Below are 17,656 nucleotides of genomic sequence, written 5' to 3'. Positions count from 1 at the left end.
AACCAGAACTTTGATAATATGCAATAATATGCAATATGCAATAATCATACGAAGTTTAAAGAATAGTAATGCTGAATGCAAGAGGTTAAAACAGGCTAGCAAATCTCAAAAACAGGCTAGCAAATTTCAAAAATAGATTTGTCATTAAAAATTCACAGCTTTCTGAATTATCTTCCATAAAAGTTTCTGCAATTTGATGTTTTATTCCTCTCTAGGATAAGCTCAGCAAAACCAGACAGCTTGTGAAATCTAATCAGCCAAATTGCCAAATGAAAGTTCTCTTGATACATTCTAAACTTTTCTTATTGATGTATTTATCTATATTTATAAACTTTCTATATAGACCTATGTTATTTTTCTGGGAAGAATTTCAAAAGAACTTTTGTCAGAGAAATCTATCAAAACATCCAGATAAAAAGAAGAAAACATAAAAGTGGGTCCAGGCAAACTCTTATAATCACTTTTTCAAAAGACTGAAGGTTGTAAATTAGGATCATATGCTTCATCATGCCATGAGCTAAATATGGATAACTCTGAGAAGACTTTTCATAACAAGAATAAATATTTAATGCAATCATGCAAATCATTTTAAAAATGGTTATTTTTCTTGGTTGCCTTTAATGCTAGCCAGAGAAAGAAACAAATCATCACTTTGGTATTTAAGAGTTGAGTCTTTGAGAGTAATGTTTTTTTAAGCTGTTAAGAATCAACCATCCCACAGACAACACCTTATAATACAGCCAGGTTCAAATTCAGTTGGCACTATACCATTCAAGCCAACATCCTGTCCCATCCAAGCCAATTCCCACCTTTTATAAGCCTTTCTATAAAAGCATATTTATTTACTAACATATCATTTATTATGATGTCTTAAAACAAACTTCAATGGACAGTTACGAAAAACTAGTTGAAAAATTGTAACTTTGTCAATTTAGTGTCTTGTTATTACTTTGATATAAAAATTATTTTTTATATGTGATACTTAAAAGGTAGGTATGTGCAGCTTTCATATGTTGAAAGAATAAGAAAATAGTAAGGTTCTGTTTTTCAGAGTAATGCTAACATTTATTGTAGAATAATCTTAACTTATAAAACCTGACACTTTCTTTGTGAAAATACAGATAAACAAGAAACGTAGCAAGTTCATTTTAGTTGCTATATTCATCAACCAATCATCCTTACTAAAAAAATAGTGATGAAAATTTATGGGAAATCCCAAAGGAATTAAGTTTGCAGGATTCAATTCAGTTGGCTTAGCAGCAGCAAAGTGTTAAATATTATCAAGAGAGCTATCTAAATTCAATCCTCTGCCACCAAATAGTAAAACAAAGATAAAAGTAATTTAAACTGGCTATGGGAAATTTTAGAGTATTGCTATATATTTAGGCTTCAAGGAGGGCTTTTAATGAAGTAAAAAATATAATCATAATTTTGCCAATGAGAGTGTGCACTTGACAACATAATTTTCTTTTATCAACCATTACATATGCCCATTACAAAGTCATTCTTTATGACAGCAATTTTCTTTATAAGTAAATACAAAATCTTCCAAGTTATTATTAGATATGATTTAGGCTGAGGATGAAGTTTTAAAATAAAATATTGCTGATATGGAAAATATGACAATAATTTTGCCGGGCTTAACAAAGGAAACATTTATAAATTAGCTATTCTTAGGACTTCATATCACATACTCCTTTATTTTAATCACAGTTCTTCACCAATTTAACAGATCAAGTAGAATGTATTATTATTATATTGATCAAGATGAAGATTACTTTTAGAAAAGTTTTATTCACCCTTATCTCTCTTCCCTTTCCACCCATACCAACACCACACACATGTAAATTATAATTTCTCTACTAAAAATAAAAGAGATTAGAGGAATAGGGAAAGAACTGGCAATAAAGTATTTCATTTAATAGTCAGTTATTCTCTTTAACATGGCTAAGACAAAATGTGGCTTCAGTTTCCCTTGGCTAGAAAGGCCATTCATTGAACTCCTTCAATAAGCTAAAATGGTGTTTAAAGAAATTATGACAGAGTACTTAAAAATAAAGTGATAGATATATACATTCTAACCAAAGTGAAGAAAATAATTGAAAGTGATTATATTTTACAGGTCTTTCCACTCTATTTTTAGTCTGAGTCCACAAAACCCACCTGTATTCTCATTACACTATAATCATAACAAGCACAAATAACCTACCATTATGGGTAACGCTGTCAAAGGGATAGTGAGTTTGGCCAGCCCTACAGGAGAGCAGTTTAAATTTTATCACCAAATCTGCCTAAACACCAGCATTATTTACTTACACTTTTACTCTTTAAAGGAACTTTACCCACGTTTCAACTGTGAACTCATCCAAAGTAATAATATTGATGAAATTGGCATTATAATAATATCCCCTAAAATTATCCCACATACAGTCAATGGTACAGACAAAAATAAATACCAAAAATAGATTATCCTATATAATTTTTCAACTCTATTTCTTTTTCATAGAAAAAATCAATAAGCATATCCTAGCGTAAATTTAGAAACACAGATTAATGTTCAGTTTAATGTCACACTTGCTAATTATGCACTGCAGTGTATCATATAAGCTTTAAAATTTTTGAACAAAGGCAGCTCAGTTGATATATTAAACCTGAAATACTCATTGTCTCATTCTCATATTGGTAGATTAATGAGCTGCGAGGAAGTTTACACCAAATGAAGGTGTAATTCATACCAAATGAAGGTGTATAGTATGTATAAAATTTACACCAAATGAAGGTGTATAGTGTTTATACAAAGGAAAGGCTGACTGAACATTCTACTTGGAGCCTATCTTCCCAGGCACAAAGAGCCTCTGTGGTTTCTACAGCTGATAAGAGTTAAAAGTGACCTTTTACTCTCCTAACAAGTTATTCATATTCATAGGAGAGAAGAAAAAGGCAAAATGTGGTTCAGTATGACAACTCTGCTACTTGTGTTCTATAGAAAAATAATTATACTTTGGCCTCTTTACTTGAATTTGATCCATTCCCTTTACTAAGTGTTTTCCATTCCTTCTGCAATAAAGTTTCAAATCACCTGCCTTTGCATGCTGAAAAAGGTAGAGCCCATTAGAATTTATTGTTTCTGAAAGCAGTTGGAATAATCATCAAAACTCAGAGTCAAGCAGATAAATGAGCTTGCAATGATATAAATTATATTAAAATTTCACTGTCATCATGAACTCAAACTATCCAGACTTTATCTATTAATATCAAACTCTGTAATGCTCCTAAATGTTTATTTTTTTCATGAGAGCTGGAAATGAGCTCTTCCTAGTATATAATTTCTTGTGAAATATAGTTATTAACAATACTAGGTGCAACATTCACTTAATAAAGTTCACAACAATACAATAACAAATGATAGAAAAGAAAGTATGGATTCTAACCACTTTGTCCTCCTTTGGGAAAGCATCCAAGGAAGCAGAGTAGAGAAAGAAGACAAAGAAAAGAAAAACAAAATTGAGCCATGTATTAATAAATTGGTTTTAAGAAAACAATTATGTGTTTCTTCAAAGTATTAAAGCACAACTATTTTGAAAAGTAAATGTTTACTTTTCCTAAAAAATAGTAATTGTTCAATCCTTCATTGAAAATGCAAACATTATGGGTCCTGCTATATGTTAGATACAAGAGTTAGGCACAATAATTTCCTAATATTTTAGAACTTGGATTAGTAAATCTAGATTTAAAATATTCTTCATAAAGAAGGTTAATTCACTACCACATGTAGTCTACCTATTATTGAAAAATATTTTATTAAAATGCATAAAATTGTATCAATAATTTTGTCAAATTATTGTTAAAATATTGATAGTCACAATTTGGGAAAATGTAAAGAATGAGAAATGTTTATAATAAATAAAAATGGGAAGAGAAATATGTTAACTATTTTGGCAATAAATTATTCCACAGGCAATATTTATTTGTGATACACATTTCAACGTTTGTTATAGAAAAAAACAACTTTATACAATGTTTTTGTCTTGTGCTCCGAATGAAATATCTTAAGATGTGTGCTTTCTTTTATTTTGTTCCTTTAAATATTTTTTCCAAGATTGGATGGGTTTAGTAAAGATGAACTACACTAGGCGTGAGTGTCCTCTCCAAAGCGTAAGTACCTCCTACCTCAATTTTCTTTAAACACCCTCTCCTTTTTAAGACCTGATGACTTTAATATATCAATCATTAACTGTATTGCTATTGGCATGTCTCAAACCTATAATGGGAAGTTAAAAGCATTTAACAGTTGTGGGTGCTTAGCAAGCACTAGCACTCAGCTGATCTGCGCCTCATTGTTCACTGCCAACATCTTTTCAGACTGAACAATGTCCTTACCACATGGGTTGTTAAGTATTTTGATGTTGCCTCCAAGTTTTACCTGTAAGAATGTATTCCAAAATAGTGTATTAAAGAGCACTATAGAAGGGGAAGTTAACAAATAGATCTTATGTACTTTCTATGTGCCAGATACAACCTTAATATCCAAGTTTATTTTAGAAAGCCTATAAGGTGGCATATGATGATTGCCTATAACAAACCACTATTAGGAGAGGAAAAGAAAACTTATGGAGTCATAAGAATGGGACCCTAAAGAAAGATTAAATATACATATCATAAAGACCTAGATTTTAGTTATTTTTATTTAATTTTCATAACACCCATACAAGGTAAATATTACTATCCAGTCTTCATAGGTAAAGAAACTGTTCAGAGAAGTTATCTTCCTAAAGCCACAGAGGTAGTAACAGTCTCACCTTAAAGTATAAGATATATTGATCGGCCAGGTGCAGTGGCTCACACCTGTAATCCCAGCCCTTTGGGAAGCCGAGACGGGCGGATCACCTGAGGTCAGGAGTTCGAGATCAGCCTGGTCAACATGGTGAAACCCCGTCTCTACTGAAAATACAAAAATTAGCTAGGCATGGTGGCAGCCACCTGTAATCTCAGCTACTCGGGAGGCTGAGGTGGGAGAAGCACTTGAATCCAGGAGGTGGAGATGGCGGTGAGCCAAATGCCACTGCAATCCAGCCTGGGTGACAGAGCAAGACTCTGTCTCAAGAAAAAAAAGAAAAAAAAAAAAAAAGATATATTGATCATACTCAGTGTCTTAAGTCCACTGGAATAAAGTTTAGAATATCTGACTTGTAACTCAACTAGACTACTAAAGAATATAATGTTGATTGGGAGGTTTGTTTTAAATTTAACTGTAATGTGCAAAATAGAGAAATATCAAGAGGGCTTAAAGATTTCGTGTTATTTTTAAACATGACTTCGTATTATAATCTATTAATGATTAGATAATATGACAAATTCTTTACAGGAACACTGGGAATTCTTTAGCTACATGCTTGTAACTGTTCTACATTAAGCTGCAGATCTCTATCAAGGAAATCTATCAAGATTTCCCTATAAATAATTATACTGCACTATTTTAGAGAATATGATAAAGTATAACATTAAAATGTATTCTAAACTAAATATTTATTAGAATTACTCTAGTATTTCATAAATAATAATATTGGTTCCTATCATATTAGCATCTTAACGCTTCAAAAATTGCATTTATTTAAAGTACTGGCATAACAGGAGTAGGTAGCTCTTATTTAAGCCAAATAAGGAAACATCATCAGGTAAGAATATATCTTATAGAGAAGAAAATGAGAAGTGCAAATCTCAATAGACTTTAAATATCTAAATAATTTCCATGAGATAAGCTTGCCACTGTATTTCTTTAACATATCAGTAAATCTGAATTTACTCTCATAGAGGCTAATCATTGCTTAATATATGACATTCAGTTATTTTGCATTTTACGTGCATTCAATCTGAATACTAATGTTACAGAAATCAAAAGTAGTTAACTTTTTTAAAAGAATTGGTCATAACTTTCAAGAGTTTTATAATTTATGATAATATTAAATCTACATTAACTGCATTTTTCAAAAACCAAATGAATTCTCACAGGTAATCTGTTGGTTTTGAATTGGAATCATGTATTAAGAAACAAAGATAAAGTAAGTTCTTTTTAGGAATTACTTTCATCAGCATTCCACTACCTTATTAAGGACATGAACAAAATGAGGGAGGTTCATTTTAACGTGTATGTTTATGCACATGTCTGCTTTCTAAGATGCACGTGTTCTCATGTTTGGAAGGCGTAATAGTTTTTATCCACATTCACAACGCCCCTTATGTTCATGGAATACTCACGTTGTTTGACCGTAGAGACACGCGGCCTCCGCAGCGCGCACAGAACTTAGTGCGACAATAGGAGCAGAGATGACCGCACCCATCAGCAAACTTTGTTTTATGACAGATTCCACAAGTCGGAGCATCGTCTTTGTGCTCGCCCTGGTAACGCCGCGCTTCTTCCCCTATTTTTCTCACTTGTTCCTTATAGCTTTCAAACTGTTGATGCAATCTCCTAGGCAAAAGAGAAAATGGTAGCAAACTAAGTAAATAGTGGAAGACAAAACCAAGAACAAACAAAACAAGGAATATTTCCTAACAAAAAGGAAGCATAGCTCTTTGAACTAAAGCAAAACATACAAAACTATTTTCCCCACTAACCTTACCTTCAAAGGTAGGATATGTATTAGCATGATTCCATAATCCCTGTTTTGCTTATTAGCACTGAACTATGTGTATGTAGAAGCTACATAAGCCCTGTTTGTCGCCAGCAATGAAATTTGAGTATCTATTCCATGCCTGTTTCTTTTAGATGTTTCAAAATATTTCAACTGAGAGCTCAACACTTTACAACTACAGTCATGTGTGCATATAACTGAAACAAAAATTACACAAAATATTTAGCCTAAATACATATGATGTACTCTACTATTTTCTATCCTATTCTAACTTTAATACTGAATATAATTCAAAAATAAGTTTGTCACAATAAATTGATTCCATGACCCAGTATTTGAGCATGATGCATACTTTGACAAATACTGTTTTAGACTATGTTGCTGGGCAATCTGTCTTCTATCCCCCATTCCTGGAGGCTACTTATCTATTTGGGATCAAGTATCTAATTTAATACAGTACACAGAATGTTAGCTTTTACATTATATTTGAGCTCCTAGTTCTTGCAGTTCACATCAAAAGTTCTAAATCTTACCTTGTAGATATGCAGATTTTTACATAGTTCAATTTTTCATTATTTTAACCAGGTAATATGTATGAAGCTTGCTAGCAACCACTCCTGATTAACTACTGACTGTGGGGACAACTAAAGTTGTCTAGGGAAACCTCCCATTAGAATGTTCACATTTAATGTGATTAAAGTCTCCTCCCATCGACATCAGTTCAAATCCCAATCTTAAATCTCTATAAATAGAACTGTTTGCTGTTCTGAATAGAACACAAGAACATCCAGTGAATGCCCCAGTGGAAGGATGTCTTGGTTTTGAAAATGAGAACTGAGAGTTGTCCTGAGCCTAGCCAATAGTCATTGGCTATTTCGCCAAAAGAGGGACTCCTGCTCAAATTCATCTGGGTATCTGAGCTAGTTTTTTGGATTTGAGTATTCCCTAGGACACAGAGTACACAGATGCTTTTGTTAATTCAGGCAGTTAGTTTGATGTTCTCAATCTAAGATAACTGTGAGGAACTGATACTCCCTGGAAATAGAATCAAATAAGTTAGGTCCAGGTACTGCAGTGTTTGAGGTATTGAGACTTCATTATATTTTCTTTTTAACCTTAATAGCTCTTAAGCAGAACTTCTGTGATTACTTTAAAAATTCTCAAATCCCTTTGCTGCTTTGCCAGTTGGCACCTTTTCTATTTAATTCCAATAATTAAAGCAAACATCCAAGCACCAGCACATAACAGTGTAGTTTAGGATCTGAAATATTTCCCAATTTAAAGGCCAGCTAATATCACTTCATAAAGGAATATATGTGATATTTCATTTAATGAATGCAAGAATATCTGGTCAATTTATCGAAGAGTTATTTGATACACTGAACTTTTTATACTTTAAGTATAATTAATCTAGGGTCAAGCTAGTAGAAAACAACTGTGGGCACTTGTTATTTCAAAAGTTATCATGCAAAATGGCACCGGCAATCTTACTTCTTCCACTAAAGAAAATTATTTTAAGGAAGGGCTGGGCGCGGTGGCTCACGCCTGTAATCCCAGCACTTTGGGAGGCCGAGGCAGGCGGATCATGAGGTCAGGAGATCAAGACAATCCTGGCTAACACTGTGAAACCCCGCCTCTACTAAAAATACAAAAAAAAAAAAAAAAAAAATAGTCGGGCGTGGTGGCGGTGGCTGTAGTCCCTGCTACTTGGGAGGCTGAGGCAGGAGAATGGCATGAACCCGGGAGGTAGAGCTTGCAGTGAGCTGAGATCGCACCACTGCACTCCAGCCTGGGTGACAGAGCGAGGCTCTGTCAAAATAAATAAATAAGTAAAATAATAATAATAATAATTAAGTAATAAGAGCAAGGAAATATATCTAACCAAGGAAACTCTAAGCAGAGAGTACATAAATAAATATTTATTGTGAGAACCACCAAATCAAATCTATTTAAGTAAATATAAATGAGAAGGAGAAAACTAGGCTAAGGAAAAAGTTTCCCTATACACTTATTCTAAAATATAGAACATGATGTAGTATGAGTGTTGGCAAACTTTTTGGAATAAAGCCAGATTGTAAATATTTTAGACTTTGAGGGTCATGTAGTTTCTTTTGCAACTGCTCATTTCTGCTGTAGTAGGAAAGTAGCCACAGATAGTATGTAAATGAATGAATGTAAATATGCTCCAATGAAACTTTATTTACAAAAACAGATAGTAGTCCAGATTTTGCCCATACAGCAGTTTGTCAATTCCTCATTAGTACGTGCTTTATGCTAAGATATAATGGCTTGAAAACCAAAGCCTCTGTGTGTTTTTAAATTCAAACATACGGGAATTTTATATGGTGCAATCAAAAGGGAACCTGTTTCAGGAAATCTTTGTGCAATATATACAGGCAGGGCACTGACCACTGAGATAAAACCTTACTCTATTGCAATCTCATAGCATTTCATTTGGGTCACTCATAGACCATTTAATATTTTTACTATGTTTTATTACCGTACATAACACCTCTCTTCTACCAAACAGTAAACAATATTGGAAATGCAGTTTAGCAAATAGTTCAGGCATACACTTCCTTTGTAGCAGCCAATACACACCCATATTTGCTGAATGGAAAATTTATACATATAGGTATAAATTAGTCTGTTTTGAGAAAAAAGTCCATACAACTTACAAACAAGTTCATATTGAGGACAACATATCCTAATACATCCTACTTCACAAAACACTGAAAATTCTGGGTGTAATATTTAAAAAGGTAACTTTTAATGTACGTTTGAGCTGGAAAGTATGCAAATTCTCAAAGGACAAAAATGAAAGAGAAGCAGTAATTCAGAAAAGTAACATATCTCTGAAGCAGATGCCAAGAAACATGTACTGAGGTTCTGTGACCAAGAACTTCAGTTTTAACTCCTGTAGAAGTGATTGAAAATAAAATTTTAGTTAGGTATTCACCAAAAATAATTGAAATAGAGTGTATGATATCCAAACCAGTAGCGGAAAAAATACGGAATGAGAAAAAAGTCAATCTAAAAGAAGATAAGAGTTAAAATAAATAAATACATAAACATAGACAAAGCAGAACATTTAAATATTACAGTATGACATGGTAAAAAAAAATCTAACACATGAGGAATCACAAATGTTATACATTACAAGAAGTATCATCAAAAGACAAAGATCATCACATTAGATTTTAAAAATCCAGCTAAATGAAGTTTTGAAGAGATATACCCAAAATATAAAGGCACAGAATGTTTGAAATAAAAGGATAGAAAAAAGAGATCTCAGGGAATTATTAAGAAAAACAAACAGAAAAGCAAAAAAACAAAAACTGGTATAGAGCTTAAATTTAAAAGCATTACTACAGAGTGTAAACTACTAGTAAAAAGTATTCATTTTATTTTGCACATGACAATGATAAACTTAATTGCATATAACATATGTATATCTATCCAGTAGATTAAACTTACTAGTTAATCTTATTGAGTTCTCTTTGTGTGTGTATGTGTGTGTATACATATATGTATATACATATATACACACATGTTTTTATATATATATATATATACTCACATACATATGCTTAATACATATCTAAACTTTTCCCAAACTCTCTAGGACCCGAAATTCCTAAAATCGTTTTATTTCTTAAGCTAGTGGCGGAGGGGTTACATGATGTAGTTTATTTTTTCTTTACACCTTACATGTATGTTTTATAATACTGTTTTGTATGTATGAATGATTTAATATTAGAAAGAAAAAGATTCAGATTCAGTTCTGTCTCATCAAATAGCATTGAATAGCAAATCAGGGCTACATAGAATTGAAGGTCTCCTGGCTGTGACAGGTGGGCAGGCAGCAATTATTCCTTTTCTAGTTGGTCATGGCAAGTGAGTTGGTTGGATGAGACTTCTCCACTGAGGTATGACGGTGAGATCTCTAGCTTCTCACTTTCTCCATGGGGGATCTTGGAGTAGGTCCTAAGGAAGACAGCCACCAGGGCACCATGTTCTTCTCCCAGAGGGACATACCTAAGTGGCCTGGGGCAGCTTTTCACCAAGTGCTTCATCCCAAAGCTCATGAGGCCATTCACACAGCCATCACTCCAAACTCTACAGGGAATCACATCCTTCTCAATGCTGGCCCTTGGTGACCTGTACCCATCTATGCCCTCCTCTCATGTGCTTTAGAAATTCCTTTTTTGTTTCAGCAGCAGGTCTTGTTTAAACTACTGGTATAGACGTCCCAGTAGGGAGTATAATGAGAGAAGAAAGAGCTTGCTTTTTCTCAGTCTATAACTCTCTTAATCTTCAAATATTTTTTCTTTCTGGGTTTCTTCCTTTACTTACAGATAAGATTCTCTTATTCTGCTCTGGAAGAAAAAGTCCAACTCAGGTCCCTGTCAACTTCTCCAACTTATTTCCTGCAATGCTCCTTATTTTACCAGCCAATATTATGGAAGGAAGGAAGGAAGGAAGGAAGGAAGGGAGGGAGGGAGGGAGGGAGGGAAGGAAGGAGGAAAGGGAGAGAGGGCATTCCTCACTCCTACGTCCTTAAAATCTACCTATTCCATAACCTGCACTGTTCTATTAAATTGTTCTCTTAAAATACAACCTTAATGCCCTTTTCTCAATTCATATTCCCCTTACATTACTCTGATATCTCATGTTGTCAAGATGCTGTCCTCATAATAAAATGTGCCTTTGGAAGCAAGATACTGGTAGTGAAACCATAAACAGCACATTTATTTTTTGTATCTGATGTTTTAATGCTTTAAGATTTGTGACAGTGTTCTATTATGAATAATAAATGGAAATACATATTTTATTAAATGGTCTTACAGTAAATGTGGGACTGCAAATGTAAAACCTTTTTGTGAAATTTATTTGTACACTTCGATTTTAGAATTAACAATATATTCTTATTGACTAGTGAGGTTAACAAAATATATGATCACAAATCACAGATTTAAATTATCCACATGGAAAATGGAGAGTATTGTAAAATACACAATGCTATCAAAAGAAAAGCATTGATATTGAAACTTTCTCCCAGGATATGAGGTTCTGTTTTTTTTCATTGTTTCACTATATAATAATTGTTGCATTATTTTAATAATTGTACATTCAATTCAAGAAACTCTAAAATTCAATTTGTAAAAAAGTTGTTTGGGTGATTAATAGCATATATTTCAAAAGAAACAAAGATGAATGCCTAAAAAACTAAATATTATTCTATAAATGTCTGAAAATCTAAATATCATGCTATGAATGCAAAATAAATAATTTAAACAAGCAATTATTGATGACATTTGTACAAATTAATATGTATTTGTTGAACAAGTAAATCATAATAGTGGAATGTAGAGAAATCCTTCTAATTAGTGCAGAAATTCACATTTTTCTATTTGGTATTTTTTCTTCTCCCATTCCCAAAGTAATGAGAATCTAGGAGAAAATTCTACCTTTCTTCCTGGATTTCCTTTATGAAGTCTAGGCAAATAGAACTGGATTTTTCCAGAGGAGGAAAGGATGGAAGCTATTGTTTTAAAGTTTTAAAACTCCAAGTGGTAGGTTCTGAGAGCAGGTGAGGGCTTTCTCTGAGGTAAAAGCAGGGCAGAGGCCAGGATAGTTTGCATGCAGGACTTCCAACAGGAGGATTGCTTTAGGATGTGTGTACAATGGTGGAAGGGCATAGGTGCTGAAAACAATAAGCATGGCCTCTGTTTCCCTTGACGCCTTTGGCACAGAAAACAGATCAGTGCCATCACGCGTTCCCTTCGTCAACCTTAGCACATGGGCACCACCAAGTCCTTATGAAGTTAGTGGCATGGATATTAAAGCCAGGAGAGTTGTTCTGAGAACGATGGACTGATTAAGAGCCTCCAAAAAACACGGGGGTTGTCCAAGAGGGAGCCCTAATAATGACTGAAATTCAATGTTTTGCTAGTCTAGTAGGTTGGAGGCTTGTTTATACACATTTTGACATCACACTACACTGTTGAACATAAATTCACAGTTCTTGACTTCAATGAATGTATAATCAATTTAGAAAGTAAGTTATACATAAATATAAATTAGCAGTTCATGACAGCATGTACCAGTGTCAAAGAAGGACAGTAAGTCATATAGTTTTACAGTTAAAAAACTCTTTGTTGTCCCCACAACACAATTGTCCCCCTTTTAGTGAAACTGCCTTTTTGATTCCACTCTATAATAGAGGAGCTATAAAAGTTTGCAAAATTTCAAGGGTCACTATTTTTTTTTTTAATGATGTTTGTACATCGTGGCTTCTTGTGTCAGAGTTGAGTAGAAAATAACAAACAGCACAGTCTTTTAGACAAAAAGGTTAAATAATGGAGTTTTCTGCTACAAAATAGTTGGAAGAGGGATGGTTGTGGGGTCTTGGATTGATCTCTTGGAATGCCCCTCAAAACAAAATCACAAGCTAACTACTCAAAGTTCCACCATCAGGCCAGGCACAGTGGCACATGCCTGTAATTTCAGCACTTTGAGAGGCCAAGGTGGGTGAATCACTTGAGCCTAGGAATTTGAGAAATGCCTGGGCAACAAAGCTAGACCCAATCTCTATAAAAAAAATTTTTTTTTATTATACTTTAAGTTTTAGGGTACATGTGCACAATGTGCAGGTTAGTTACATATGTATACGTGTGCCATGCTGGTGCGCTGCACCCACTAACTCGTCATCTAGCATTAGGTATATCTGCCAATGCTATCCCTCCCCCCTCCCCCCACCCCACCACAGTCCCCAGAGTGTGATATTCTCCTTCCTGTGTCCATGTGATCTCATTGTTCAATTCCCACCTATGAGTGAGAATATGCGGTGTTTGGTTTTTTGTTCTTGCGATAGTTTACTGAGAATGATGATTTCCAATTTCATCCATGTCCCTACAAAAGACATGAACTCATCATTTTTTTATGGCTGCATAGTATTCCATGGTGTATATGTGCCACATTTTCTTAATCCAGTCTATCATTGTTGGACATTTGGGTTGGTTCCAAGTCTTTGCTATTGTGAATAATGCCGCAATAAACATACGTGTGCATGTGTCTTTATAGCAGCATGATTTATAGTCATTTGGGTATATACCCAGTAATGGGATGGCTGGGTCAAATGGTATTTCTAGTTCTAGATAAAAATATATTAGCCAGGCATGGTGGTGCATGTCTGTAGACCCAGCTACTCAGGAGGCTGACATGGTAGGATTGTTTAAGCCTCGGAGGTCAAGGCTACAGTGAGCCATGATCATGCCACTGCACTCCAGCCTGGTTGACAGGGTGAGACCCTGTCTAATACAAAAAACAAAACAAAACAAAAATACCAAATTCCTCAATCAGGAAGCCGCAGAAATCAGAAACCTACTGTCCAAATGGCTAGTGTTAGTGTCCTACCACCTCAGCTAAGGTATTCTGATCTAGAAGCCACCACAAGAGCCACAGCAGGAGATCCCGGGAAAATGATGCCCAGTGTGTTGTCGTGGCTCTGCATCTAAATCAGTTTCAATTCAAATCTCATGCAAGCCCATTTGACTGATGGAACCTAAATTACATCAGGAATTCTAGCTGCAGGAGAGTCTATGAAATGCAGTTTTCAGATTTCTAGCTTTTTCGTAAGACTTCCTAAAATGATTTTGAAATGTATATTGTGAGGGTCAGTCTTCCACTTCAGCTACAATCCTCTAATCTATGTCAAATTGCTTAATTCCTTCCACTGTACCAGGGGTGAACAATATCTGAGTCTAAGTCTAAGATCTCCCTTTCCCATTCATTTTCCATTTTATCTCTCTCCCCTCCCTCTCTTCCCCTCCTTTCCTTCCCCTCCTCACCTCTCCTTCCCTCTCTTCTCTTCTCTCCTCTCCCTCCCTTTCTTTTTCTTCATCATACACTAAGCATACATTACTATGGAAAGCATTTTGCCACCACCAGGAAATTTAAAAAATAGATTCAGTTCCCCAAGCAAATTACTTATATGAGGGGTCTTCAAAAAGTTCATAGAAAATTAGTATTACTAAAAAACTATGCATTTTCAAAACTTTCTTGCACCAAAATGAACTTGTAATAACTGTTATAACATGTCTGAAAAGTACCTACTAATAGTTTGAGCCACTAAGAAGGATAAAACATAAGTTTGAAAAGAGCTTCTATGAGAGCAACATGAATTCCTCTAAAACTGAAGCAAGAACAAACATGAAATTTCAAGTGACCGGGCACAGTGGCTCACGTCTGCAATCCCAGCACTTTGGGAGGCTGAGGCAGGTAGATCACCTAAGGTCAGGAGTTCGAGACCAGCCTGGAGCCGGGCCAACATGGTGAAACCCCATCTCTACTAAAAATTACAAAAAATTAGCTGGGTGTGGTGGCAGGCGCCTGTAATCCTAGCTACTCAGAAAGCTGAGGCAGGAGAATCGCTTGAACCTGGGAGGCAAAGGTTGCAGTGAGCCGAGATCAGGCCATTGCACTTCAGCCTGGGTGACAAGAGTGAGACTCGGTCTCAAAATAAATAAATAAATAAATAAATAAATAAATAAATAAATAAATAAAGTAAATAAATAAAATAAAAATTAATGCAAGTGAAGTTTGGGCAGAAGAATGGTGAAATCACTGACACTTTATGAAAAATTTATGGAACAATATTCCAAATAAATCAGCAGTTTACAAGTGGATGACTCATTTTTAGAAGGAATGAGATGATGTTGAAGATGAAGCCTGTAGTAGCAGACCACATACATCAATTTGTGAGGAAAAAAATCATTTTGTTCATATCCTAATTGAAGGGTACTGATAATTAACAGCAGAAATAGTAGCCAGCACGATAGACATCTCAATTGGTTCAGCTTACACAATTCTGACTGGAAAATTAAAGTTGACCAAAGTTTCCATTTGATGGGTGCCAAAACCATTGCACCCAGATCAGCTGCAGAGAAGAGCAGAGTTTTCAATGGAAATTTTATAGTGGGATAAATATGCTAAAGTATTTATTTGAAGATTTGTTAATAGTAGATGAAATATGGCTTTATGAGTATGATCCTGAAAACAAAGCACAATCAAAAGAATGGCCTTCAAGAGGTGGAAGTGGTCCAGTCAAAGTAAAAGCAGACCAGTCAAAAGCAAATGTCATGGCAACAGTTTCTTGGGATGCTCAAGCCATTTTGCTTGCTCACTTTCTGGGGGGCCAAGGAATGATGACATCTGCTTATTATGAGAGTGTTTTGATAAAGTTAGTCAACCTTTAGTAGAAAAAGTCCCAGGGAAATGCCATCTGAGAGTCCTTCTCCACCATGACAATGTTCTTGCTCATTCCTCTCATCAAACAAGGGCAATTCTGCCAGAGTTTTGATAGGCAATCATTAGGCATCTACCTTACAGTCCTAAATTGAATTCTTCTAACTTCCTTTTGTTTCCTAATCTTAAAATGTCTGTGAAGGGCACTAATTTTTCTTCAGTTAAAGTTATAAAAAATACTGCATTGGCATGGTAAAATCCCCAGGACTCTCAGTTCTTTAGGGATAAACTAAATGGCTGGTATCATGGGTTATAAAAGCATCTTGAACTTCATGGATCCTATGTTGAGAAATAAAGTTTGTAATTTTTTATTTTTAATATCTTTTTTCTGCAAGCTTTGTGGATATATGTACTTGTGTCTGTCTCGCTCATTTTATCTGGTTAAGAAGCTGCAGGGACAGCAAATCAACGTAAAACTTGGACTGAGATACAAGGTACATATACAATCAAACGAACAAACAACCTCCTTCTTTCTGTAGTGATTTAATGCACAGCACAAATCTATCACCTGTGAATGAAGGCCCTCATTATTCTTAGCTTGTATTATTTCATTAGCTTTCTAACTAGGCTTCCTGCCGATGGTTTCCATCATTCTAGTGCATCTTTCATACCGCCTGAATGATCTTCCTAATAAACTGAACCAATCATGTCAATCTACTGATTAAATATCATCTCTGAGGTAGTTCAATTTCTCATCCTGTGGTACAAGGTCCCCACTTACTTATCTATTAGCATCTCTCACATACGTTTTCTCATACATCTTACACTACAATCAAATTAAACTTTCCAGCTGTTTGTCAAACACAGTAGAATCTTCCAAACATCAATTCAACAAACATCTACTGAGGTCTGTTGCACAACCCACACTCCTTAAGGCTCTGGGAGTACAAAGAAAGTAGCATAAGAAGGTCTTGAGTTTCTATTATTTTATTACCTGATATTATAAATACAAGTTGTTTACAGGTGTCAGGCATATGCATAGTATCCTGCAAAAAGAAGCAATTGCAATTGCAAACGTATGTAACTCAGATGAAATCGCTTTTACAGCAGTGTATTTTTCCTTCAGCCTTGAACTTCCTTTCATAGCTTGAACTCTTACCAAGTGTCATTAAAAATTATCAATACTTTACTAATCTAAATTTACTTAGGTGAATTTTTCACCTAACACCAGCTGTAGGAATATAATATGCTATTCTAGATATGAGCATACAGGCTCTCCTTTGGAAGAAATATGAATTATTCTACCATTTGCCTTTGTCGTCTCCTTCAACGCTTTTTGTGAATCACTTCTGAAATTTAAGAAATCTAGTTGTACAAGCTTAAAACCAAGGTTTTCTTCTTTGCCAGGACTTGGGGTTCATCACTATGGCATTCGCTTAAGCACTTTTCTTAGAGTGAGACAAGATGAAGGAAGGATTCCAAAATCCAGTGTAAAATGAAAACATTTGGGAAAATATAGACACAGGAGAAACTCCAAAGATTAGTGGGTACAATTTCCTCATTTTATAAATGGGAAAATTTAGGGACACGCTTTATGTGCCTTACATAAGGCTGGTAAAATGGTTGGTGATAATTAGGTCCTCTGTTTCAAACTTTCCACTACACCATTCTATTTTCAGAATGCTAATTTTAATTATGGCTAAAGGAACGGAAAGTTATTGCTTTGTAAGAGGTGTTTCCTTGGTATCCTCAAACTTAATATGCATTAGAATTAT

At 34.7% G+C, this 17,656-nt stretch overlaps 1 protein-coding gene across 25 annotated transcripts in view; it reads right to left on the bottom strand.

Moving 5' to 3' along the window:
• Window positions 1–17,656, bottom strand: part of RIMS1 (regulating synaptic membrane exocytosis 1) — a 516,596-nt gene that overhangs the window by 299,728 nt on the left and 199,212 nt on the right. For 14 of the 25 annotated variants that reach the window (NM_014989.7, XM_017010517.3, XM_047418419.1 and 11 more), the window contains exons 3-4: window positions 6,256–6,469; window positions 3,432–3,443 (exon numbers count right to left, since the gene is read on the bottom strand). In NM_014989.7, the coding sequence (NP_055804.2) occupies window positions 3,432–3,443; window positions 6,256–6,469 (226 nt within the window). Of the gene's footprint in view, window positions 1–1,647; window positions 3,444–6,255; window positions 6,470–17,656 lie in introns of those variants that run through there. The other 11 variants (XM_047418417.1, XM_047418418.1, XM_047418423.1 and 8 more) reach the window with 3 other exon arrangements.

This window comes from Homo sapiens, chromosome 6 (assembly GCF_000001405.40).
Source record: "Homo sapiens chromosome 6, GRCh38.p14 Primary Assembly".
Classification (NCBI taxonomy): domain Eukaryota; kingdom Metazoa; phylum Chordata; class Mammalia; order Primates; family Hominidae; genus Homo; species Homo sapiens.
This window is presented reverse-complemented; position numbering and strand designations above follow the sequence as displayed.